The sequence below is a fragment of the Homo sapiens genome, chromosome 3 (genome assembly GCF_000001405.40).
Source record: "Homo sapiens chromosome 3, GRCh38.p14 Primary Assembly".
Classification (NCBI taxonomy): Eukaryota; Metazoa; Chordata; class Mammalia; order Primates; family Hominidae; genus Homo; species Homo sapiens.
In genome coordinates this window covers 149,257,409-149,283,713 of record NC_000003.12, presented here as the reverse complement: position 1 = coordinate 149,283,713, position 26,305 = coordinate 149,257,409, and the positions used below count along the sequence as shown (strand labels likewise).

General features: G+C 37.8%; 1 pseudogene, besides 1 other annotated feature; it reads left to right on the top strand.

Annotated features, from left to right (window-relative positions):
- Positions 8,107–26,305, top strand: part of CPHL1P (ceruloplasmin and hephaestin like 1, pseudogene) — a 34,246-nt pseudogene continuing 16,047 nt past the window's right edge.
- Positions 12,971–14,170: an enhancer, noted in NCBI's record as "MED14-independent group 3 enhancer chr3:148987331-148988530 (GRCh37/hg19 assembly coordinates)". NCBI's record gives its function as "activates an origin of replication core promoter dependent on BRD2, BRD4, P300/CBP and CDK7 cofactors, and independent of MED14, by STARR-seq in HCT116 cells {active_cell/tissue: HCT116}" and the evidence as "EXISTENCE:reporter gene assay evidence [ECO:0000049][PMID:35650434]".

Below are 26,305 nucleotides of genomic sequence, written 5' to 3'. Positions count from 1 at the left end.
CCCGCACAATGGCTCTGGGTGAATTACTCTTTCTCCATTGCAATTCTCCTATCTTGATAAATCAGTCTGTCTTGGCAAAGTGAACCCATTGGTTGTTTACAGTACATTTTATAGATTTACAAAGACTCCCTCCTTTTTTTTCCTATCTTAGACTTTCGGTTTCTCGATAACCTGTTTCATAGCCCTAGGCAGTTGTCAGCTAAATAGTCTAAAATTTTCACATTAAAGGAAACAACTCAGGTGAAAATCAAATAGCAAAATTTACGTTATAAAATAGAAAGAGAAAAAAATCTGGCAGTGCTAGAAGGAGACACTTTTATTTTTCTTTGAGCCAAATTAAACATAAAATTAAACTACACTCTTCCTTAAAATCCCTAGAGTAGATTCTGTTGCAATAACTAGTTTAGTAAAAAAAAAAAAAAAAAAATCAGGTGAAAACAGAATTCAGTTAACTGAGAAAAAAAAAGAAAAAAAATAAACTTTTGCTCCAAAAGACAAGGTCTTAGGAGAGAAAAACAAACCAACAAACAAAACCAAAAACATGAAGGCCTTTCAAACATGCACACATGCACACATACACACACACACACACATCTTGGATGTTAGCCTTTTAATTAAGCTGACTTTTATCCAGTCCAAACTCAGCCTCCAGCAATTGTTAAAATTACCAGTTTATTGTGCCAGTGGCTTCTGCTCTAGGTAAGCATATTTCTTCTGTGACTCTAGATTGTCTGTCTCTTCAGATATGGGGATTTGCCCTACAAACTCCATTATCTGATGGGTTTAAGAAAAGCTGTTGATTTTCTTTGTCCAGTTTCTCTTGTTGTAAGGATTATGACTTCCATGCTCTTTACATGCTGGAGCTGAAACTGGAAGTCTTAGGGGTTGGTATTTGGGCATGTTGAATTTGACGAGTTCATTAGACTCTTGCTTCTCAAAGTGTGGTTCATGGACCTGCAGCACTGGCATCATCTGCGAGCCAGTGAGGAAATGCAGAATTTCAGACCCACCCAGACTTATAGAATACAGATTTTTCCTTTTAAAAAAATCTCCAGATGATTTTTCTGTGCATAAACATTTAAGAAGTTGCTATATTAACCATCTAAGTGGAAATGTGGCATAGATTATTGTATATACTGTTAGGCAGAGAGGTTCAAGCCAGAGACACACATTTCTGAGTTTTTGTCATGTTGGCACTATTTTAAGCCATGAAACAGATTCCCTGACCTACATCATGGACTTTAGTATCAGTGCACTCCAACTAAACCACAGGAACACATCTGTAGATGAACAAGTTGTGTTTGTTGCTTAACGCATTGAGAGAGAACATACATGATACAGAACCTTGGGGTATCTCAGAAAAAAAAAGCAGTGTTAAAAAGAACTTATTGTATGATTGGGGTTTGTGTTAGGTGATTTGTGGGGGATGTTTAAGGAAGCAGGGCTTTGCTCTGGATCAAAGGCAGTGAGAAAGTGGGGGAAATTTATGATTGGGTATCTTAATAAATGTAATCTATAAGAAAAGAAGAATGAAATAAAGCTAAAGCTATAATTGGTAAAGAGTAAAACAAAGCTAGAGCCATAAAATATAGTCAGGGAATGTGTGGTTATTTTTGAGATTTGGAGAATGTTCATGTTTCTCATGTATACTGTAAACCAAAAATAAAATTCTAAGGTCCCCCAACCATCTGAAAGGACTTCCTCCTCAGCCAAGGCTCTTTTAAAATTTTACCTGGAGACTGTTTCAGGCCTTGAAGGGCAGCGGGGGTTGGACATGCCTCATTACACCTCTCAACATTAACACCAACACAGACTTTAAGTCTGATAAGAAACATTTTTACAACCTATTGTTTCTGAAGCCTACTACCTAAAAGCTTCCTCTGTAAATAACTTGGGTCTCCACAATTCTTTATCTTAACCCAGACCTGCCTTTCTGTTGATCCAAGGTCTTTATACAAATTCAACCAATTGTCAACCAGAAAATGTTTAAATTTACTTATAGCCTGGAAGCCCCCACTCGGCATTGTCCCGCCTTTCTGACCAAACCAATGTATTTCTTAAATGTATTTGATTGATGTCTCATGCCTCCGTAAAATGGTATAAAACCAAGCTGCACCCCAACCACCTTGGGCACATGTTCTCAGGTCCTCCTAAGGGTTGTGTCACAGGCCATGGTTACTCATATTTGGTTCAGAATAAATGTCTTCAAATATTTTACGGAGTTTGACTCTTTTCATCAACAATATTCAGACATTTTCTGGAGTGGTATTGTTTTTCTTCTGGCTCCATTAGGGTCACAGAGTGGTGCTGTCTGATGTTGGTGTTCTGGGAGATTGTTTATGCCAAGGAGGAGGACACCAGGGCCTAGCTGTGAGTGCCAGGCCAGCTCCTAGTTGGGCAAAGCTTAGCCACTAGTACCAGGACAGCTCCTGGATGTTGGGGGGCTGCTTTTCTCTTTCTTACTGTTCAGTGTCTTCCCACTATTCCCTTCTGTGCCTTGCTTTGTAGGCCTCCAGTGTCTTATGTAGTCTACCCCATACTGCGAAAGCTTGTAATTTGCATAGCCTTAAACTGCGAAGGACTCAGAGCTCCAGCCCAAGTGGAACTCTCTCTGCCCCAGCTGCTAGCTGCTCTACTTATTCAAATTTTTCTAATCTAGTATATAGTTTCCCATAGAATAACCTTGATTATAAGGCAAGGAGTTTAATGGTAGGGCATCCACCAGGCTTTAAGTCCTGGATTTAAATTCTGGCAATAACATTTAGTTGTTTTGGTTAGTTGTTTAAAATCTCCAAGTTCCAGTTTCCTTATCTATAAAAGAGAACTTAATAAGCTTCCCTTTCAGAGTTGGTGGCACAATTAGAGCTAATATTTACAAAAGGGCTAAGGAAGAGCTGACTTTCAACAAATGGTGGTTATTGGTAGAAGTAATACAAAGAATAGAAATGGATCTAACAGTGACTGACATCCTCCATGGTGTCTTTAAACTCCCCATCTTGCCCCAACATCATTTATATCTAATTTATCAGCTTTGTTGGAAGATATAATTAGAGCCATATACTCTGAGAAAAACTGAGCATTTGTAGGTAATATAGAAGTCTACACACTTAAACTATTAAAGCCACTGCTATTACAGGTAGTATGAAAAGAACAGAAAATTTTATTTGGAATCCAGTAATCTATAGCTGACTACTGGCACTACAATTTGGAAATGTGCATTCTACAGCAAGTTACTTGACCTTTTGAGTTTTTGGTCTCTTATCTACAAATCAGATGTAAGGAAGGGGCAGGGGTAAGGGAGAGACTGTTGGGAAAATTACATAGGGTAATAATTTTCATTTATAAAATATTTTCTATATAGCAGAGTTTTTTACAAACAGATGTTATTATCACTAGTCCCTTATGCACATTTTTATTTGCTGTATTTATTTCTTAAACTTATTTACAGTTCTGGAATGGAAAAACCAGGAAGGAATCTAAATTTCCTCCAAGGTATTTAGCCTCACACCTTCAGGCTAAATTCAACAAAGTTTGGCTAAGTAAACTTAAATAAAGTGAGTTATGTTCTTGAGCTGTAACCAAGAATATAATCAAATGATAGTGACCAACTTTAAACACTGCTGTACCAAAAGGCTGATCTACTGAGGGCTATTCAGGGAGGAACAGAAAGGACTGGAACAATTATTTTCATCCTGACAAACAATAGTATGTAACATGACCTAGGAAAAAGTGCTTGACCCTTCACCCTTCAACAAGAAAAAAAAAATAGAAGCCAATTTTCCTAGTCACCTGTTGAGAAGAACCAAAACAACAAATATTTACCAATACCATGCTCTACCATTTTCGTTGTAGCTCTCAGTGGGCTGAGAGCTAACTTTTTCCATGTGCCTGCTCTGTGTCAAAGTAGAGGCCAGGTCCTCGCAGGAGCCATGAACTTTAATTATTATTACCCTTATATTACAAATAACAGGACTCTGGGTCAGAATGATTATGCAGCTCGTCCCACATGACACAGGTAGTAAATGGTGGAGTTGAACTGGAGGTAGATCTGCTTGAATTGAATATAGGAGATTTTTTTGCACTTTTTGGGGTACCTTGTGTAGAAAAAAAAATGCCAGCTGAATCGCTCCTTTGCTATCCATATTCCAGGGTAAAATTAATGTTCCTATGAGAATGAGGTAGAAGTCATAGAATGTTGGGAAGAAGGGACCTTTGAAAGCTCATTTAAAGAATCCCATTCCCACCTGGTGGGTGGGTCCTTTTACAGCTGCTGGTCCAGGCCACAGTGACAGGATAGGCTTTAAAGTTCTTCCATATACAGAGCTAAATTTATGGGCCTATAGCTTCCAACTATTTGAATCCAGTTGAGTTTCTTCCTTGAGGCAGAGAGCCCATGTATAATCCTTTTCTCTTGTGACACATTGTGTTTGACTGGGGTCTTCTTGCCAGCCCTTTCAATTGTTTCCCAAAAGGTGTGGGATGTGAATCTCTTCTCTTGGTTCTCCTGTGGGTGGTTTCTCCCATTGCCAAGGTCCCTCCAGGAGACCCAGCTTTTCTGAATTCCTTCCAAGATCTGCTGGTGACTTTAAATCTGCCAAAGCACTCGGTGGCTCAGGCAAGGATTGTGTAAACAATCCTAAGTCATGGAACGTGATCTACTCCTTAAGAGCTAAAGTAACCTTAAAGTGAGGCTAGAAACATATAGATGGTTCAGCCCAAAGAATTTGGTATGTCTTTTAAACCAAAATGCCACATATATTACTTGCTACATTTATATTTGATCTCTTCATCCAAAACTCCAACACTTTTTGGAGTATTGACATTTGGAGTATGTGGCATTTTCTTAAATAGGTATTGATATCTATATGTACACATGGGAAAAATACACTTTGATTTTGTGTGTTTTGAAAAATAGGCTGGGTGTCGTGGCTGATGCCAGTAATCCTGCCACTTTGGAAGGCCTAGGTAGGCAGATCACTTGAGGCCAGGAGTTTGAGACCAGCCTAGCCAACATGGTGAAACCCCATCTCTACTAAAAACACAAAAATTAGCCTGGTGTGGTTGCACACACCTGTAATCCCAGCTACTCAGAGTCTGAGGCCCAAGAATCACTTGAACCCAGGAGGCAGAGGTTGCAGTGAGCTGAGATTGGGCCACTGCACTCCAGCCTGAGCGACAGAGTGAAACTCTGTCTCAAAAAAAATAAGAAAGGAAAAAAAAGAAAAAAGAAATTATAGTATGTTTGTATATTAATAGAATATCCAAAATAGGTAGGAAAAGCTATGCTGAGGTTAAAATGAAAGAACTAGACTTCTAGGTACTGACATAAAAGACATCTAAGATATATAGTTGAGGAATAAAAGCAAGCTACAAAATTATACACACCATGTTCTTTTAATTTTTTAAAAATTTTGGTGGGTATATAGTAGGTGTCTATATTTATGGGGTACATGAGATGTTTTGATACAGGCACGCAATGTGAAATAAGCATATCATGAAGAATGGGATATCCATCCCCTCCAAGCATTTATCCATTGAGTTTCAAACAATCCAATTACATTCTTTGTTATTTTATGTATATTTGTTATTATTGACTATAGTCACCCTGTTGTGTTATCAAATACTAGGTCTTACTCATATATCATATGATTGTGTTGTCTTAATATTTCTAACCATGGGTTTCTAAACCTAAATTAGAGTCTAACTTTTGAAACACACTGTGGCTTTCCAATTCTAAAATCTCAAACAATACCTAATAGTAATAGATATTACAATACATGATGATACCCAGATCAGATCAATGGCTTATAAACATTCCTTCTCCTTTCCTTACTTATTGTATTCTCAGCCAAGGCACTCTATTTGTTCAATAAATTTGACATTTAAATCTAACATTTCTTGGTATCTCCAGGAAACAGAAAGAATAAATGCTTCCTATCTAATCTTCCTATCCTAATCTGTAGGAGTTATAACCTACTGGAGTAAAGTAAATACCACATGGAAATTTAAGCAACAGTCTGAAGCAGGATGTGGTTTGTTGACAGTCTGTGTCACAGCTGGTAAATTCAGAGAGGGGCATGTTTCTAAGCTGAAATGGTCAGGGAAGTCTTCACTGAGAAGGTGAAGTTTCAGTTGAGCCTTGAAGAATGGGAAAAATTTGGATTAGCCGAGAAAAAGAGAGGCTGAGGGAGGCAAAATCAGACTGGGAAATGGGCACAAATAAGATGAGATAAATTCAGAAAGCACATTATAACAACGAAGGAACAGGAAGTACTGTAAATAACACTTGTTAAATGTTGACTATGCATCAGCTTCCTTGTGTGTCCGCAAGCTCCTCTGTAAGATGGCTGTCATTGAATTTACACAACTTCCTAACTGGTAGGTAATATTATCATTTTATAAATGAAGAAATGAAGTTACATAATTACACATTGCTGATAACTGACAGTGCTAAGAGTCAAACACAGGCTGTCTGATTCCAGGTTTTCTGCATTCTCTCCCACCTCACACTGTGTTCCTAGTAAGAAAACTCCCCAAAGGGAAGGGATCCTATAAGTGAATTTTGGGGACAAATCTGGAATATCAGAGATACCAGATTGGGGCCTAGATTACATGGATAGTCTTAAATGCTAAGAAATTTGAGAATAACTTAATGAAAGTCTTAAATGACAAGAAATTTTAAATTATCATCTAGTAGAAAAACTTGATAAAGGTAGCATTTCAAGAATTTTCCGGGAATGGTACGTAGAATGGACTAAATAGTAAGAAAGTGGAGGCTGGAGACTAGACAGAAGAATATTCCTATATTTTAGGAATAGATAATCATTATCAAGGGACAGTGGATGATGGGCAACCTAACGATCCAGTGTGTTGTGCAACATTTCACCTCACCTGACAATGAAATCCAAAACCACTTGGAATGGAAATGACATATATGTTAATGAAGACAGATAATGTATGTCAGTAGACACAAATGAAAGAAGAAAGCCTGGATTATAAAAGGTAGGCAAGCCCTACTCAGTTAACTTCTCCAGGCTCAGAATTTGAAAATGAAGGCACTTTTACCATTGACCTTTCTGTTTTTTATTAGTTCTCCAGGTTGGGCAATAGATAGGCACTGCTACATAGGCATTGAAGAAAGCATTTGGAACTATGCTCCTTCTGGTAAAAATATGCTCAATGAAAAGCCTTTTTCTGAAGACCTGTAAGTAATCCTTTGCATTTAACAAGTTATTATCTGAAGCAAAAGTTGGTAATTGTTGATCATTGATGAAATGCTGATGAAAACTTTCTCATGATTGACACTTGCAGGACACATATGCCATTAGAACCACTTCGTTTGTTTAGTTCCAACATGGTATGGAAAAGAGGTAGTAATACAAATCCAAAATTGCTCTTTCCTGGAATGATCGCCACTCTTGTCTTCCTGACACGTTATTTTGCAGATCACAGCTAATTCTGTTTATCATTAATTTTGTTCACGTGATAAGGTATAAAACAACACTTTCCTTTTGATATGTGTGTAGCTGTTTTCTCGATTTTTCTCTTCAGATAATTGAGAGAGGGAAATATAGAGGACATGAGTGGGGTTCTGATTTACCACGGTTTAAGAGCAAAACACCTTAATGCTACCAACAAATCCACAAATCCATTTAAATGTGTAAACAGTCCTAAATCATGGGAACTGATCGACTACTTGAATGCTAAAGTAACCTTAAAGTGGGGTTAGAAACATAGACACAGTTCAGTTTAAAGAATTTGGCATGTCTTTTAAACCAAAATGCCACATGTTTTACTTACTACATTTGTATTTGATTTCTTCATTCAGTATTTCAACACTCTTCTCACCAATTATACCTGTTTTTGACTCCCATCACATTTTCTCCAGCCTCTGGGTTTTATCTGCCAAAATTAGGCTGTTGAGCTTCTGACTTTTCATTTAGCTTATTTAACACTTTGTTTCTTTCCAGTCAACATTTGTTAAAGTTCTGTCTTTTTTGTTTGTTTATAGAGAATTTCTACAAGGAGGTCAAGCGAGGAAGAGCTTTGTTTTTAAAAAGGCTTTGTATTTTCAATATTGATACTGATAATACATTTCAAAGGATCATTGAAAAACCATCCTGGTTGGGATTTTTAGGTCCAATGATTAAAGCAGAGACTGGAGACTTCATTTATGTACATGTAAAAAATAATGCTTCAAGAGCTTATAGTTATCATCCTCATGGGCTCACCTACTCCAAAGAAAATGAAGGTAAGCAGATCCTCTTTCCTGAGTTTTGCTTATGGAGAGTATGAGCACATTGCATTAGAAAAAGCCAGGTAATCATGGACTGGTCAGCATTCTGAGCTACGTGGAGTTTAGAGTGGATGCAGACTCTACTTCTGATGTATTTAAAGTTTATACCCAAGACAGTCCTTTTTTAGTTTCTCATCTTAATTGAGTGACAGCCCTTATGCAATTCCTAGGAAATAAAACACTTTTCCCTTACTCACCAGAAAAGAAAAAAAAGGTGTTTTTTTGTTTCGTTTTGTAGGAAACACTCATGAGCTAAATGTTAGGTTGGCAGAAATCCTGTTCTGCCCCCACCTCATTTCCATTTCCTAGTAGATGAGGATCACCCTCTGGGAAGATATCAGTATCAAGAGAAATCACTACTTTCCAGGCAGACTCTTCTCTCCTACACAGCTACAGTCACAGATACATCATGATTTTGGAAAAAAAAAAAAAGGAAGGGAAGAGAAAGCCAACAAATAGGATTTTGTGAGTTTTTGGGAGACAACAAGGAAAGCTAGGAAAACAGAGTTTGGAATTGTCTTTAGTAGAACACAGATATTTTTTCCCAGTGTTTGAAATATGGTTTTTAAAAGGCCTGGCATAAATCTTTAGAAAACTGGAATTTTAGGCCAACTTGATAAGAGTACCACCTATAGCATACGTGCTCCTTCCAACAGAGGCTCTATGATAATACAGGGCAGCGGAAATCCCATATGCCATTCCTTTCATCTGTCATCATTATTTTGCCATGTTACATGACCATCTTGCAATGATTATTGCCCTTTAAATATAGTCTATAAAAAAAAAGAAAAATAGTCTATATTATAGACATATAATGTGAAAAATGTTAACAAGAGTTTGCTTTATTTTTTTACTTTTTAATCAACTCTCAAAACTTGAACTGAGGTTTGATGATTCCGTCAGGGAAGCATGAAGAAGAACTAGAAAACAGGCCTTGAATTAATCCTCTGGACTGAAACAGACTCAGGAAACTGGACCATGACTGGAGCCAGTTCCAGCTGGGCCGCTGGGCAGGAAGAAAGTACAAAACAGTCAGTCATAATTTCTTCATGTTCAGTGTGGAACAGGAGGGTCCCAAAAGAAGAATAGAGAATCAGAGGCTGCTCATGTTTCAAAGTCTTTTATTGAATAAAGGAATTTTATTCATAGTTAGCAGGATCCAGCCACGAGGGGTAAGGATCTGAGGCAACACTTTAGCCAGAGAAGAAGAAAGAAAGGAGAGCAACGGTCCAAAGTCAGAACTGAGGTAATAGTTCAGAGTAACGGCATGGGCCACCTTCGGACTGCAGTGGGCTACTTGGAAGTAACAGGGACACCCTTGGATGCCCTGGGTCCCAAGTCTGACTGGCAATGAAGAAAATATGGAGGGCAACTCGGGAGTCCAGAGGTTACCTCTGCATCTGAGATCTAGGCACATGGTAGGTGCAAAATAAATATTTGTTGAATCCATCAGTAAGAGTGATGATAGCCTATTATATACTGCCTGCCTCATTCCAATTTAGTCTAAAAACTGCAGCCAAGCTGAGCATTCAGGTAGAAGCCAACTAAAGGGGATTTAGGGAGGTAGGAATCTGGGAAATGGTGGGGAGAAATGCACACTTTTTGAGAAATACAAAGTAGCATAATGGAGGAAGCCCGAGTCACATTCAAAATAGTGTTATCCAATATTTACTGTAACCACAGTGCAGAATATGTTTTCTAGGTGCTATCTATCCTGATAATACGACAGGCCTGCAAAAGGAAGATGAATATCTGGAGCCAGGGAAACAATATACCTACAAGTGGTATGTAGAAGAACATCAGGGACCTGGCCCCAATGACAGTAATTGTGTGACAAGAATTTACCATTCCCATATAGACACTGCAAGAGATGTAGCTTCGGGACTTATTGGACCAATACTGACTTGTAAAAGAGGTAACTTTAAAAAAAAATCTCATTGCAGTAAAAGAGTAAACCAGAATGGGTAGGCTGTCCTCTGCTCTCCTAGAGGAATTTTACTATCCAAGGCACTCCATTTTCCTGCCTTAACCTTGGTTTTCCAGTCAAGAATGGAAACTTGCCATCTTGGACTCTGAGCACTAGATGGCGATCTCAAATCCAACCCTCAGTTCAACCAATAATTCAGGTTGGTCACTAGATGGTAGTCAAACCCAATAAACTTCACTTCGGCCATCTTCCTTCAAAATTACTGCCACCTTTTTGTGTTTATGTTTTAAGGTGAATCAGTTAGAATCATCAGTTTATTAATAATTCTTGCAAGGAGGAAGTTTTGCTGATATGTTTCTAACTTGCAAGGGAATATAGAGTTTTGAAAATTCTGATTTGGTTCATTAAAACAAGATCAACAAAGCAACAGCACTAGATTAATTATGAAGTTAATGAGCAAATTTAACTTCCTATGACAATCAAAGTTTAAATTTTAGGTGAACAAACATCTCTCCACAATAAATATTTTAATAATTGCAGTTTCCTATGCCAAACACACATAGTCTCATGATTACAAATTACATTCCTTGGGAGATAACTTTTTTTTTTTTTTGTATTTTTAGTAGAGGCTGGGTTTCACCATATTAGCCAGGCTGGTCTTGAACTCCTGACCTTGTGATCCGCCCGTCTCGGTCTCCCAAACTGCTGGGATTAAAGGTGTGAGCCACCGTGCCCAGCCGGGAGATAACTTTTTAAACCAACTTTGGAAGAGCTTTTTGCCCTTCTCAAAATTGCAAGGAACTCAACTGCATAATGGCAAGATAAAGAATATGTGTTTATTATATTTAACTTAAACATTAGCTATCTAGTCTGAACATTTCCAAACTTTCTCCCTTTTCTTTTTAAACAGTAAGATAACTTAATGCTTTGCATTCTCAAAGGCAAGTATGTGAACTGCCATCAAGCCTTCCTTGGTTGGGTACAGTGGCTCATGCCTGTAATCCCAGCACTTTGGGAGGCCAGGTTGGGAGGATCACTTAAGGCCAGGAGTTTGAGACCAGCCTGGGCAACATAGTGAAACTGTGTCTCTACAAAAAAAAGAAAGAAAAAGAAAAAGACTTTCTCACTTACAGTTATGTTGATTTATGCCCTATGGTTTTAAATATAAGGCTGTTATAAAATATTTGGGACTGATAATAATTTTATAGAATATTATATTTTTATATACTTTTTAAATATTATAACTATTTTATTCCCACTGTCCTAAGCACTTTTCTCTTTTGTTCAATCTAAGCGCACAGAGGGATCTTATCCATTTTGAGTCATTTGTTTCCATCTGTGGGTTAATGAGTCTGAAATCTGTAACTTTGGTTCAAACTCCTTTACTGATAGTCAGGCCTGGCAACTTGGCGTCTCTACTTGGGTGTTTCATCCGTACCTAAATACGTCATATTCCAAAACCCGTCATTTGTTCCTGCCCTGAATCTCTCCCTTCCTTCTGTGTTCCCTGCCTTGGGGAATGGCCCCAGTATGCTCCAATTAGTCACTGGAGACAAAACCTTGGGTAACATTCTTGATACTGCCCTCTCCCTCATCACTTGCTAAATACATCAGTCAAGTCCCGCCAGCTCTACTTCGTACACATCACAAGGTCAGCTCACTTCTCTTCAGCTCCACGAACTCTAACCTAGTTCAGGCCACTGCCATCTTTTTGCTAGGATACCCACAACAGCCTCTTAGCTGCCCCACCAGTCTCTAGTGCTTCCCCTTTCAATTCATCTCCACTTGGCTTTCTGTCTGGGGGGTGAAGGTGGGAGGATGATTCTGAGTCTGTCACTCCTTTGCTTAAAATCCTTCAAGGACTGCTGATTGTTCTGACGATAAAGTCCAAATTCCTTTTATCTTAATTGCTGCCTGGAATCTTCTCTACAGGTACACCCCAGCAAACTCCTCATCCTTTAAATATCAACTGAGGTGTCACTGCCTTCAGAAAAGATTTCCATACCCAAAATTAAATTAACCAGCTCCCAAACACTGAACTCTTCCCTACTATAGAACTTTACACACTATAGTATCTTATTAATTGATGGCGTCCACCCTTGATTGTATGCCCTGCAAGGGTAGATAACTGTCTTGTTCACTTTTATAAACCCAACACTTGTCATAGTACCTAACACATTACAAATATTCAATAAATATTTGTTGAATATAAGCATAGAAGAATAAATAAATTGGTATGAACTAAAGTTATCCTTCGTTTGAGGAAACACAAATTTTTAGACTTTGAACAATCTCACGCGATAATGGTCATCAGATGCAGACACTGCAGAAAGTTACTGATTTGATGTAAAGATGAGTATGGATTCTTTAAATATGGCTTCATATAGGTAATATGCTTTTTTAAGTTTGTTGTAAACTTTACAAAAACCGACATCCCACATCGCAAACATTTACCTTTTTCACGTGCCCTAACAATTAACAAAACTGTAGATCGTAAAAGTAGTTGTATCTGTAACAATGGTTCTAATTAATGTCTACATGAAAAGTAAGAAATGTGTTTTTTGTTTCAGGGACACTGAATGGAGACACTGAAAAAGATATTGACAGGTCTTCTTTTCTGATGTTTTCTACAACTGATGAAAGCAGAAGCTGGTATAGTGATGAAAATATTCGTGCATTTACTGAATCTGGCAAGATTAATACTAGTGATCCCCGTTTTGAGGAGAGCATGAGCATGCAATGTACGATTAAAAGAACTTTCTCATACATAATATCTTATAATTCTAACTTCTATGATCGTATTCAGTCATTTCCCTTTGTTCAAGTTTATTTAGTTGAGTTTATGTTTTTCAGCGTTTCAATCAGAGTATACTGGGTTGACATGCAAATGCAAATCACTAGTAAAGCCTGCTCATTCCCTAAGTCCAATAGCAAGTAAAGTTTGGTCAATATTTGTTTTCTGAAGTCTCATACTGATTTAAAATAGACAGTAAAAACCTAAGAAAGACGTAACTTTAAGTAATAAAATATGGAATAACAAAGACATAATTGACCAAATATTTTATGAATATGTGTTTTTATCCAACATAGAATTTTTCAGAAATGATGTCATCATAATCCGTCACCCTTATCCTTGGTTTCTTCTCTCATGAACTTAGTTTCTATTTTTTTCCCCTTTTCACTGCTTCCTGCCTTTCAGGAACTTTTTCTCCTCTTGCCTTTAAACCTTTGTGTTCCCCTCACTTCTCATCATACACAATGCATATGGACTCCTTTCCCATGAAACACAAATCAGATGTTATAGATTATGTGTGAGAACAATGTTGACATTGTGAGGTTTATATTAATATGATGAGGAAATACACAGAATTTTTACCAGGTGGCACTGATCTATCATGCCTGATTGATTAATATACATTTGTTTTCAGCAATAAATGGATACATCTATGGAAATCTGCCCAATCTCACCATGTGTGCTGAAGATAGGGTCCAGTGGTATTTTGTTGGCATGGGTGGCGTGGCTGACATACACCCCGTCTACCTCCGCGGACAAACTCTGATCTCTCGGAATCACAGAAAGGACACCATTATGCTCTTCCCCTCCTCACTGGAAGATGCCTTCATGGTGGCCAAGGCCCCTGGAGTGTGGATGCTGGGATGCCAGATACATGGTAGTGATCTATTACTTTTGCGTGATACAGAGTCAGAGAACTTCCAAGGTCATAGCCCATTACAAATGCCTTACCTTACAAATGAAGAAACCGATATCCAAGAAGGTGATATGATTCCTTTTGGAAACAGTCAGTGATGGAGCCCAGGTCCCTGACAGCTTTAAATCCTTTTAAGTATATAGGATTGGGTTGCTGTTTTTACAAAAACTTTTATATTCATTGTGAGAATATAAACCCTGAGTGAGAACCCTGAGTGTCAGACAGAGCAGATATTATTACAGCTTTTTCTTTAACTGAGGAAACAAGAATCAAAATCCTATGGGAAGCAGAGCAAGAAATTATGCAGAACCCAATAATTCTAATTGATTACTCAAGTAAACCTCCTTATTTTTGTTTATTTCCCTCTCCACATTTGCCATTTAATAACAGAATGGTCAGTTATGTTGTTGTTTATCTTTTTTATTCTTGAATATGACAAAACTCTATATATGATCACGTAAATGTTCTGTGTTATTTTTCAATCAGAAAAAAACATAATTTTCATTAGAATTACAGAATTTAACTTTATTTTTTTGTGTGAGAAAAAGAAAACCACTCACGGCTATTATAACTCAAGGACTGAATTTAGTGATAAAAAGTTGTCACTTAGAAAAGATGATCATTTTCAGATTAAAATATACTCAGCTCCACCAATACCTCCTATCTACCTTATTCTCAGATCATACCCTCAAGACAGTCTTTCTACCTCAACCCTGCAGAAAGACTAGTGTCAGCCCTAGACCAAGTGAAAAAACGCCTCAAAGCCTAGTTGGCTGATGGGATCCCATCACTTTCTCCTGTGTGTCTCCTCTTTCTGTGTCCTTCTGAAGATTTTCTGCGCTTTAATTTACTCCATTTTTTTTAAGTAATTACAAGAATATATGAATAGACCTTTGTTGGAAAGAAAGGTAGGAAGGAAAGAAAGGAGGAAAAAAAGTGGGAGAAATGGAAGAAGAGAAGGAGGAAAAGAGGCAGAAAAATAGGTGGAGGAAAGCAGGCAGAAAAAGTGAAAGAAGTCTAATGCAGTATACATTAGCCTCCAGCTCAAAAGAGCTGAGAGTTAAATAATCCAGCAGTTAAATTATTGGTAGCTTCAAATTGGTTGCAATGGGAAGTGCTTACACTACAAAAAAATTAGCACATAAATCAGAGTTTGTGTTTAGTTTTGGAGAGCTGCTTTAAGGACACACCATCAGTCCAATTCCACCCCACCACCATCTTAGCCACTGTAATCAATTTGTGCAAGTATTTGAAAACCTGTTCGCTATGCACTTTCACACAACATAAACATGAACACGTAGAAATAAAAATACATAGCTATGTTTTGTGCTTTGTTTTATGTAAGTAGATCACACTGCATATAATATTCTGTTGTTTTCATCACTCATATCAAAGTCTTGAAGTCTCTTTCCATGCATTCTCTATACATTTAACTTTTTTTTTTTAACTGTTGCATAGTTTTCCATATTTTGGTTGTACTGTAATTTATTTAACCTTTTGCCTACAAACAGATGTTTAAGTTGCTACTGCCTTTTTGGTTTATTAACAATGTTATAGTTAACACCTTTTTTTTTTTTTTTTGAGATGGAGTTTCCCTCTTGTTGCCCAGGCTGGAGTGCAGTGGCGCGATCTCAGCTCACCGCAATCTCTGCCTCCCAAGTTCAAGCGATTCTCCTGCCTCAGTCTCCTGAGTAGCTGGGATTACAGGCATGCACCACCATGCCCAGATAATTTTGTATTTTTAGTAGAGACAGGGTTTCTCCATATTGGTCAGGCTGGTCTTGAACTCCCGACCTCAGGTGATCCGCCCGCCTCGGCCTCCCAGAGTGCTGGGATTACAGTCATGAGCCACCGTGCCTGACCTTATTTAATACCTTTTTATATGTCTCTTCATGTATGTGAAAATATTTCTCATGACTCTCAAGAAGTGAAACTATATAATGGCAGAGAGGTTTTTTTTTGTTTTTTTTTTTGAGTCATGCTCTGTTGCTCAGGCTGGAGTTCAGTGGTGCAGTCATGGCTCACTGCAACCTCGATCTTCTGGGCTCAAGCAGTCTTCCCACCTTAGCCTCCGGAGTAGTTGGCGTTACAGGCATACACCATCACACCCAGCTGATTTTTTTTTTTTTTTTTTTGTAGAGATGGGGTTTTGTCATGTTGCCCAGGCCGGTCTCAAACTGCTGGGCTCAAGTGAGGCCGCCTGCCTTGGCCTCCAAAAGTGCTGAGATTACACGTGTGACCCACTGCCTGCCAGGGCTTTTAATTTTAACAAATTTTGCCAAATTGTCTTCCATAAAGTCTATATTAATTTACATTCCCACCAACGGTGCTCTGAAATTAAAACACAGGACTGATCTTCTCATGCCTTGAGTTTCTTTCTTCCAGCCAACTAGTTAATTGAATAAACCAACTAACTCATTAATGACTAGTAGTAGTAATTTCATATTCATGAGGGAAGATGTTCTTGGACTCTCAAATTCTTCTCAGTATGTAGGTACCATCTTCACTTCAGAGTTGGTCCAAAGCTGGTTATTATTCTCTAATAATATATATGCCTTTAATATTCATTTTTGCATCCTGACTTTTGTACTTATTTCATACATCTTAAATTTTTCCATTGATTTCATACATCACATTTCTCAAAGAAATAGAAAGTCTCAATATTGTTGGCTAAAATTGAAAATATGTATTGACCAAGAAAATTGTCTTAATGTTTTAATAACATTCTCTATCTGTTTTTCAGAGAGTATGCAGGCATTTTTCAAAGTAAGTAATTGCCAGAAACCTTCAACAGAAGCCTTTGTTACTGGGACACATGTTATACATTACTATATTGCTGCTAAAGAAATTCTTTGGAACTATGCTCCATCTGGTATAGATTTCTTCACTAAAAAAAATTTAACAGCAGCTGGAAGGTAATGAGTCACTGGTTAAAATATTTATAGTTAAATAATTAAGATAATTGAAAAATTTCATAATCTAGTTACTTCTGAAAAAGATTTAGGCATCTAATTAAAATATACTGATAAAATAAATATAAGAAAGTAATTGGAAAATTTTGAAGCCAAGGAGCATTGCTAGACAAAATTCTTCTCTAAATGCGCTGGCCGACAATGTAAAGGAAAATATATTATTCATCTTTTTCCTAGCACAAAACTTTAAAATGGATTTACTCTATACTTATGAAACATTTAACAATATAGCAGACAATGTCATCAATAACATTTTATTAAAATTTTAAAACATTCTTTGTGTGCAACTTATACACTCCTGCTAAGATCTGAAGGCACAGTTAAATCATTGAATGTGATATCCTTAAACTATATTCTATAAATATTATGTACTCAGTAACACCTAAGACTATATTACCAATTGTTGTCTTAATAACCAAAAACTAACACTAAAATGCATTACTCTGGCATTCATTAGCATTTAAAAGTGGGCAAAAAGTTTTTCTGATAGTCCAACTGCCAAGTATATTTACCATATTGAGGACAACAGGAGATTTAATTCTTCTGGCCTACTGAGTGAAGACACATGTTAGAACAGACAAAGTCCTAAAACCACCAGAAAATAACGTTCTTTATGATACTTATTTTTCTCTAATGCACTCACAGGAATTTGAGAAAGCAAAGAATATTATGTCAAGTGACATTTTCCCGTCTTTATTTTTAATTATTTTTTAATGATACATGATATTTGTACAGATTTAGGGGGTACATATGATATTTTGATATGCGCATACAATATGTGATAACTAAATCAGAGCATTTAGGATATCCATTGCCTCAAACATCTATCATTTCTTTGTGGTGGAAACTTTTCAATTTTTTTCTTGTGGCTATTTTGAAATATACGATATAGTGTTATTAACCATAGTCACCCCACTGAGCTATTGAACCCTGGGGCATATTTCTTCTATCTAATTGTATGTTTGTACCCATTAACCAACCTCTCTTCATCATCCATTACTCCCCCACCACCACCCCCACACATTCTTCCAAGCCTCTGGTAACCATCATTCTATTTTCTACCTCCATAAAATCGACTTTTCTAGCTCCCATGTATGAGGGCATATGACATTTGTCTTTCTGCGCCTGGTTTATTTTGCTTAATATAATGCACCCCAGCATCCATGTTGCTGCAAATAACATGGTCTCAGTCTTTTTTATGGCTGAATAGCATTCCATTGTGTATATATAGTACATTTTCTTTACTATTCACTTGTTAATGCACACTTGGGTTGGATTCCATATCTTGGCTTTTGGGGATAATGCTGCAATAAACATGGAGGTGTAGTATCAAAGGTGTATCCCTTTGATACACTGGTTTCTTTTCCTTTGGATAAATACCCAGTAGTGGATTGTATGATAGTTCTAATTTTAGTTTTTTGATGAAACTCCATACTGCGTTCCATAATGGCTGTACTAATTTACATTCTCACCAACAGTGTGTAAGAGTTCCTTCTCTGCAACCTCAGCCGCTTTTGCTGCTTTTTGTATTTTTGATAATAGCCATCTTAACTGGGGTGAGATGAGATCTCATTGTGATTTTGATTTGCATTTCCCTGATGAAGAGTAATGCTGAGCATTTTTTCATATATCTGTTTGTTGGCCACTTGTGTATCTTCTGTAGAGAAATGTCTCTTCATTTGACCCTTTGCCTGCTTTTTAATGGGAATATTATTATTGTTATTATTATTATTACTGTTAAGCTGTTTGAATTCCTTGTATATTCTGGATATTCATCCTTCGTCACATGAATAGTTTGCAAATATTTTCTCTCATTCAACAGGTTTTCTTTCCACTCTGTTGATTGTTTCCTTTGCTGTGCAGAAGTATTTTAGTTTAACATAATCGAAATTGTCTATTTTTGTTTTTGTTGTCTGTGCTTTTGAGGTATTAGCTATAAAATAGTTAGATCAATGTCCTGGAGTGTTTCCCCCATGTTTTTTTCTAGTCAGTTTTTATATTTGGGTCTTACATGTAAGCATTTAATCCACTTTGAGTTGATTTTTGCATATGATGAGATATGGCCTCTAATTTCATTCCTCTGCATATGGATGTCCTGTTTTCCCAGCACCATTTATTGAAGAAGGTGTCCTTTCCCGAGTGTATATTCTATGTTCTTGTCACTTTTTTTTGTTTGGAAGGTTAGTTGGCTGTAAATATATGGACTTATTTCTTTCTGGGTTCTCTATTCTTTTTCATTGGCCTGTATGTCATTGGGTTCTCTATTCTTTTTCGTTGGCCTATATGTCATTGGCCTATAGGATTTTTTTTTCTATTTTTGTGAAGAATGTTATTGGTATTTTATAGGGTTGCCTTAAATCTGTAGATTGCTTTTGGTAGAATGGTCATTTTAACAATATTAATTTTGATCCATGAGCATGGGGTGTCTTTCCACTTTTTGTATCCTCTTCAATTTCTTTCATCAGTGTTTTGTGGCTTTCCTTGTAAACATCTTTCATCTCTTTGGTTAAATTTATTCTTAGGTTTTTTGTTTGGTTTGGTTTTTGTTTTGTAGCTATTGTGAATGGGATTGTTCTCTTGATTTCTTCTTCAGCTACTGTGTTATTGGTATATAGAAACACTACTGATTTTTGTATGTTGATTTGTATCCTGCAACTTTATTGAATTCATTTATTGTAAGAGTTATTTCGTAGTGTCTTTAAATTTTTCTATATATAAGATCATGTCATCTGCAAAAAGGAAAAATTTGACTTCCCCTTTTCTAATTTGAATGCCTTTTATTTCTTTCTCTTGCTTGACTGCTCTGGCTAGGACTTCCAATACTATGTCAAATAGGAATGGTGAAAGTGGGCATCCTTGTCTTGTTCCAGTTCTTGGAGGAAAGGCTTTCTGGTTTTCTTCACTCAGTATGTTAGCTGTGGGATTGTCATATATAGCCTTTATTATGTTAAGAGTGTAACTCCTATGCCTGATTTGTTGAGAGTTTTTGTCACAAAAGGATGTTGAACTTTATCAAACACTTTTTCTGTACCTACTGATATGATCATATGGTTTTTGTCCTTTATTCTGTTAATGTAATATATCACATTGATTGGTTTGCTATGTTGAAACATCCTTGCATCCCTGGGAAAAAAACCCACTTGATCATGGTGTATTATCTTTTTGATATTTGTTGGATTTGGTTTGCAAGTATCTTGTTGAGGATGTTTTCATCTATGTTCATCAGAGATATGTAGTTTTCTTTTTATGTTGTGTCCTTGTCTAGTTTTCGTATTAAGGTAATGGTGACCTTGCAGAATGAGTTAGGAAGAATTCCCTGTTCTTCAATTTTCTGGAATAGTTTGAGAAGAATTGGTATTAATTCTTCTTTGTAAGTTCGGTGGAATTTGTCAGTAAAGCCATCCAGTCCTGGGCTTTTCTTTCTTGGGGGATGTTTTTTTACTGATTCAATCTCATCACTCAATATTGGAGTGTTCAGGTTTTCTGTTTCTTCCTGGTTCAATCTTAGTAGGTTATCTGTGTCCAGGAACTTATCCATTTCCTCTAGGTTTTTCTGTTTGTTATTGTACAGTTGTTCATAATAATCTCTAATGATCCTCTGTATTTCTATGGTATCAGTTGTAATGTCTCCTTTTGTATTTCTAATTCTGTTTATTTGTGTCTTCTCTTTTCTCTTGGTTAGTCTAGCTAGTGGTTTATCTATTTTGTTTATTTTTTTTTTAAACTGACTTTTCATTTAGTTGAGCCTTCGTATGTCTTTTTAGTCTCTTTTTAACTGAGTTCTGATCTGACCTTTATTATTTCTTTCCTTCTACTAATTTGGGGTTTGGTTTATCTTGCTTTTCTAGTTCCTTGAGGTGCATCATTAGGATATTTACTTGAAATCTTTCTACTTTTTTTTGTTTTGTTTTTTGAGACAGAGTCTCGTACTATCATTCAGGCTACAGTGCAGTGGCATGATCTCAGCTCACTCTAACCTTCACCTCCCTGGTTCAAGTGATTCTCCTGCCTCAGCCTCCCAAGCATCTGGGATTACAGGCACACACCACCACACCCGGCTAATTTTTGTATTTTTAGTAGAGACAGGGTTTCACCATGTTGGCCAGGCTGGTCTCGAGCTCCTGACCTCAAGCGATCCTCCTGCCTTGGTCTCGCAAAGTACTGGGATTACAGGTGTGAGCCACCACACCTGGCCTTTTTCAGCTTTTTTAATGTAGGCATTTATTGCTATAAAATACTCTCTCGCACTGCTTTTGCTGAATCTTAAAGGATTTGTTGGGTTTCCATTTTCATTTGTTTCAATAAATTTTTAAATTTCTTACTTAATTTCTTCATTGACCCAGTGGTCACTCAGGATCATGTTGTTTAATTTTAATGTATTCGTACAGTTTCTAAAGTTCCTCTTGAATTCTAGCTTTATTCCATTATACAATGATATGATTTCAATGTTTTAAAATTTGTCGAAATATTTTGTGGCCTCACATATGGTCTATCCTGGAGAATTTTCCATGTGCTGATGAAAAGAATGTGTGTTCTGCAGCTAGTGGTTAAAATGTTTTGTAAATATCTGTTAGGTCCATTTGGTCTAAAGTATAGTTTAAATCCAATGTTTCTTTGTTGATTTTCTGTCTAGATGATTGGTCCAATGCTGAGAGTGGGGTGTTGAAGTTCTCAACTATTATTGTGTTAGAGTCTATCTCTCCCTTTAGCTCAATAATATTTACTTTATGTATCTGGGTGCTTTGGTGTTGGGCATATATATTTAGAATTGTTACATTCCCTCACTGAATTGATCCCGTTATCATTACAAAACGACCTTGTCTCTTTTTACATTTTTGACTTAAAGTCTGTTTTATCTGATATAAGGATAGCTATTCCTACTAACTTTTGGTTTTTGTTTCTGCAGAATATCTTTTTTCATCCCTTCATGTTTAGTCTTTATGTGTCTTTACAGGTGAAGTGAGTTTCTTGTAGGTAGCATATATTTGGGTCATTTTAAAAAATTCATTCAGCCAGTCTATATCTTTTAATTGGGGACTCTAATTTATTTATATTCAGGGTTATTATTGATAGGTAAGAACTTATTCCTGTCATTTTGGTAATTGTTTTCTGGTTATTTCATATATCCTTTTCCCTTCTGTTTCTCTCTTATTGGTTATAATTGCAGTTTGGTGGTTTTCTGTAGTCCTTGAGTCCTTTGTCTTTCTCATTTGTGTGTCTGCCATGCCAATGAGTTTTATGTTTTCATGTGTTTTCAGGATGGTAGATATTATCCTATTGCTTCCAGATATAGGACTCCCTTAAGCATTTTTTATAGGGCCTATCTAATGGTGATGAATTTCCTAAGTTTTTGCTTGTCTGGGAAAGATTTTATTTCTCCTTCATTTTTGAAAAATAGCTTTGCTGAGTGTAGTACTCTTGGTTGACTCTTTTTTTTTATTTTCAGTGTTTTGAGTGTATCATCTCATGCTGTTTTGGCCTGTAAGAGTTCTGCTGAGAAATCTGCTGTTAGTCTGATGGGGATTTCTTTATACGAGACTAGATGCTTTTCTCTTGCTGTTTTTAGAATTCTCTTTTTTCTTTCTTTGTTTTTGACTCTTGACTCTAATGTGTCTTAGAGAAGGCCTTTTCAGGTTGATCTATTTGGGGATCCTTGAGTTTCCTGTATCTGAATGTCTATATCTCTTGTAAGACATTTGAACTTTTCAGTTTATTATTATTATTCTTTTGCATTAACAGTGTTTGTTTTTTTAACAAGGAATGAAAACAAACTTTTTTTTTTTTAGGCAGAGTCCTGCTTTGTCACCCAAGTTGGAAGGCAATTGCATGATCACAGCTCACTGTTCCCTCAAACTCTTTGGCTCAAGCGATCCTTCCACCTCAGTCTCCCAAGTAGCTAGGTCTATAGGCACGTGCCACCACACCCAGCTAATTTTTTAAATGTTCTGTAGAAATAGAGTCTTACTACGTTGCCTTGCCTAGTCTCAAACTCCTGGCCTCAATCAATTTTCCCAGCCTCCCAAAGTGCTGGGATTATAGACATGAGCTACTATGCCCAGCCCTCAGCTATTATTTTGTTGAATAGGTTTTCTATGTCTTTGTCCATTTCTTCTCCTTCTGGAATACCCAACATTTGAATATTTGGTAGCTTTATGTCACTCATATGTCACATATGCTTTTTTCATTCTTTTTAATTCTTCATTTCTTTCTCTCTCTTTTTTTTTTTTCTGACTGGGTTGTTTCAAAATACCAGACCTCAAGTTCAAAAATTATTTTTTCAAGTCTGTTGTTGAAGCTCTAGATCATATTTTTAATTTTTAAAAAGCTCTTCAGTTCTAGGATGTCTTTTTGGGGTTTATTGTATATCTGTTGAATTTCTTGTTCAGATCATGAATTTTTTTCTGATTTCTTTGTGTTGCTTATCTGTGTTTTGTTGTATCTCACTGAGCTTCAATATTGTTATTTTGACTTTTTTTGGCATGTCATACGTTTCTTTTTCATTGGAATCTGTCACTGGGGAATCATTGTGTTGTTTTGGAAGTGTCATGTTTCCTTGCTTTTTCATGCTTCTTGTGTTTTACATTGATATCTGCACTTCTTCCCATTTTTTGTGGGGCGGTGGCTTTGGTAGGAAAAGAGACATTTTCTATAGATGTATTTATAGTGTGGATTGGGTAGGATGCTTTAACTTTGATTCTTGCTGCGTGCAGTCATGTGGTTTCTGTACAATTTCCTCAGCTGTAATCAGCATCAGTGGTGCCTGTGAGTTCCTTGGTGGCTTATCCTGTGGTTGTTAGTGGAGGTTTTGCTGGGGATGGGGATGCCAGATGGGACAGTCCTTGGGCCCCAGTGGTGGTGGCAGCAGGTTGAGTCTTCCCATCCTTGGGGCCCAGCAGCATACATGGGCACTGGTGTTAGAGGATCCAGACAGGCTAATTATTGGGCCTCCAAGTGGCTTTCTCAGGTGTCAGCAGTGGCAATGGTGAGTTGGGCGTATTTTTGGGTCCCTGGGTGGCATGTATGGTTGTGAAGGCAGGAGTGGTAGCAGGCCAACCCTCAGGCCCCCAAGTGACATGCATAAGTGCCAGTGGTGGAAGCAACAGTCTGAGCAGGCCATTCCCTAGACCCCCAGGTGGTACATGCAGGTGGGTGCCAGCAGAGGTGATGGCAGCAGGTTGGGCAGACCTGTCCTCATACCCTGGAAGTAGTGTACAAATTCAGCGGTGGTTGGTGGAGAAGGTTGATCCTCAGGCTTCGATAACACTTGTGGGCTCTGGCAGGTCAGGCACGCCCCCTGAGACTCCTGGGGAGGAGGAGTGCATAGACGCTGGTGATGGCAGGCAGGGCAGATTGATCCCCAGGTCCCTGGACAGCACATGTGGGCATTGGCAGAGGTGGCATCAGGCAGAGTGGACCTGTTCTCAGGCCCTCGATGGTGTGCATGAGTGCAGACTGTGGTGGATACGGTGGGTCAGTCCCTAGGTTCCCAGTTAATGTGTGTGGGCACCAGCAGAGTGGGCAGACTCACCCTCAGGCCCCTAGATGGCATGCCTGGGTGCCAACAGCAGGTGGGGCAAGACTGTCTTCAGGTTCCCTGATAGTGCACATGAGGAACAGCTGTGGCAGGCAGGGCAAGTCGATCCCCAGTACCCAAGATGGCACACTGGAGTGGAAGCAGCAGTGGGCAGGTGTGCCTGTCCTCAGACTCCAGGACAGCATCTAGATGGGCTGGTCTCATGTCCACCAAAGGTGCCTTCTGGTGTGTGGTAGCCCTGCTGCTGAAAGGGCAGTGTTTGCTATCAGTGGCAGTCACTCCAGGCAGATGGCTCTCAGGCTCTGGAGAGGGCATGCACAGCTCCCTTTGTTCTGGGGTAGCCTCCCTGGTGCACGGCACAGCCCATCCCCCACAGTGTAGAACATGGTATGGGCTAGAGTGGTGGGGACCCGGCCAATCTACTGGATACGGCTTCAGTGTCACAGTGCTCAGCCCTCTGAGTGGACACAGGAGAATGTCGTTGGGGTTCTAGGGATGTGGAGATACAAGGGCTGTTGGGCCCTGGGGCAGGATACAGTCTGGTTGGGGCTGGGCTCCCAAAATGGTGCCATGCTACAGCTACTTGGGTCTTGGGGGTTTTATGGGACCCAGCATGAACTCCCTCCCTGGAATGATGCCATTGTATCAACTCCAAGCCACTCTCTCTACTAGTCTCAGGGCCTGCAAGGGCTAAGGGGCTCTCTTGTGGCTAGGATTAGCGGGAATCCATGGTAGAAGTATGGACTGCTGAAGCTCTCTCACTTATCTTTTTCCCACACTGGGGAGCCTCTCCTGGCTCCCAGCCAGTCTGAGCAGTGACAGCTGCCTTGCTTCCCTTTCCTTCTGTGTCTCAGATGTTCTTTGACACTTTCCTGCCGAATTCCAGTGTTCTCTCTTAGATGCTGTATCCAACTTGTGATTATCTACTCAGTGTTTTGGTCCTTCTTTGTGAATGTGAGTGCCGGGTGCCTTTACTCCTTTTCTTACATTTTAAGCTCATCAGTAAATTACTCAATCTGTGTAATGGAAATTTTGTATTAAATGTCAGAAAGATAACTGGGCTTAGAGCAAAAAACTAGATTTAGATTTAGGGCTTACTCTCATTTTATATCGACTAAAATAAGTATGAATTAATAGATTCATTTTGCTTGATCCCCCTGGCTGTAAAATTCTATGATGTTTTGGCATAGCAAGTCACCACTTTATTGTTAGGAAATATTCTTCTCATTGTTAGGAAACTTCTTCTCAGAGGCTCCTTTTTATTATAACAATTTAAAAAAATAATAACATCTATCTTTTTAATATTATAGCATCTCTGCAAATAGTTGTTTTAATAGCAATATTTGTTATTACCCACCTGAAAAAGTCAGGTATAATATCTTTTAATTTTTATTCCAAAAGTAAGTTAGCAGACAACTAGGTAGATACATATAGATAATTATATATATGTGCATAGATAAAAGACTGAAAGGATATTTACAGAAAATACTGACTATGGTAATATATAGATGGTGGGATTATGGAGATTTCCATTTTCTTTGTTGTATTTTTCTTTCTTTTCAAAATTTTAGATTTATAATCAGAAATAAATTACAAATATTTTAAACAGATGTGTTTGGATTCTTTCTTTTCACGTGATAACTGTGAATATAAAAGTTCTTTGTGTATCTACCTTCTCTGCATAGTAAATCCCAGTTATTTTTTGAACGAAGTCCAACCAGAATTGGAGGAACTTAACAAAAAACTGATTTACCGTGAATACACAGATGCTTCCTTCCAAACACAGAAGGCAAGAGAAGAACACCTTGGAATCCTTGGTAAAATTCTATTCAGAGCTTGTAGGGTTATAAACATTATTTATAAATA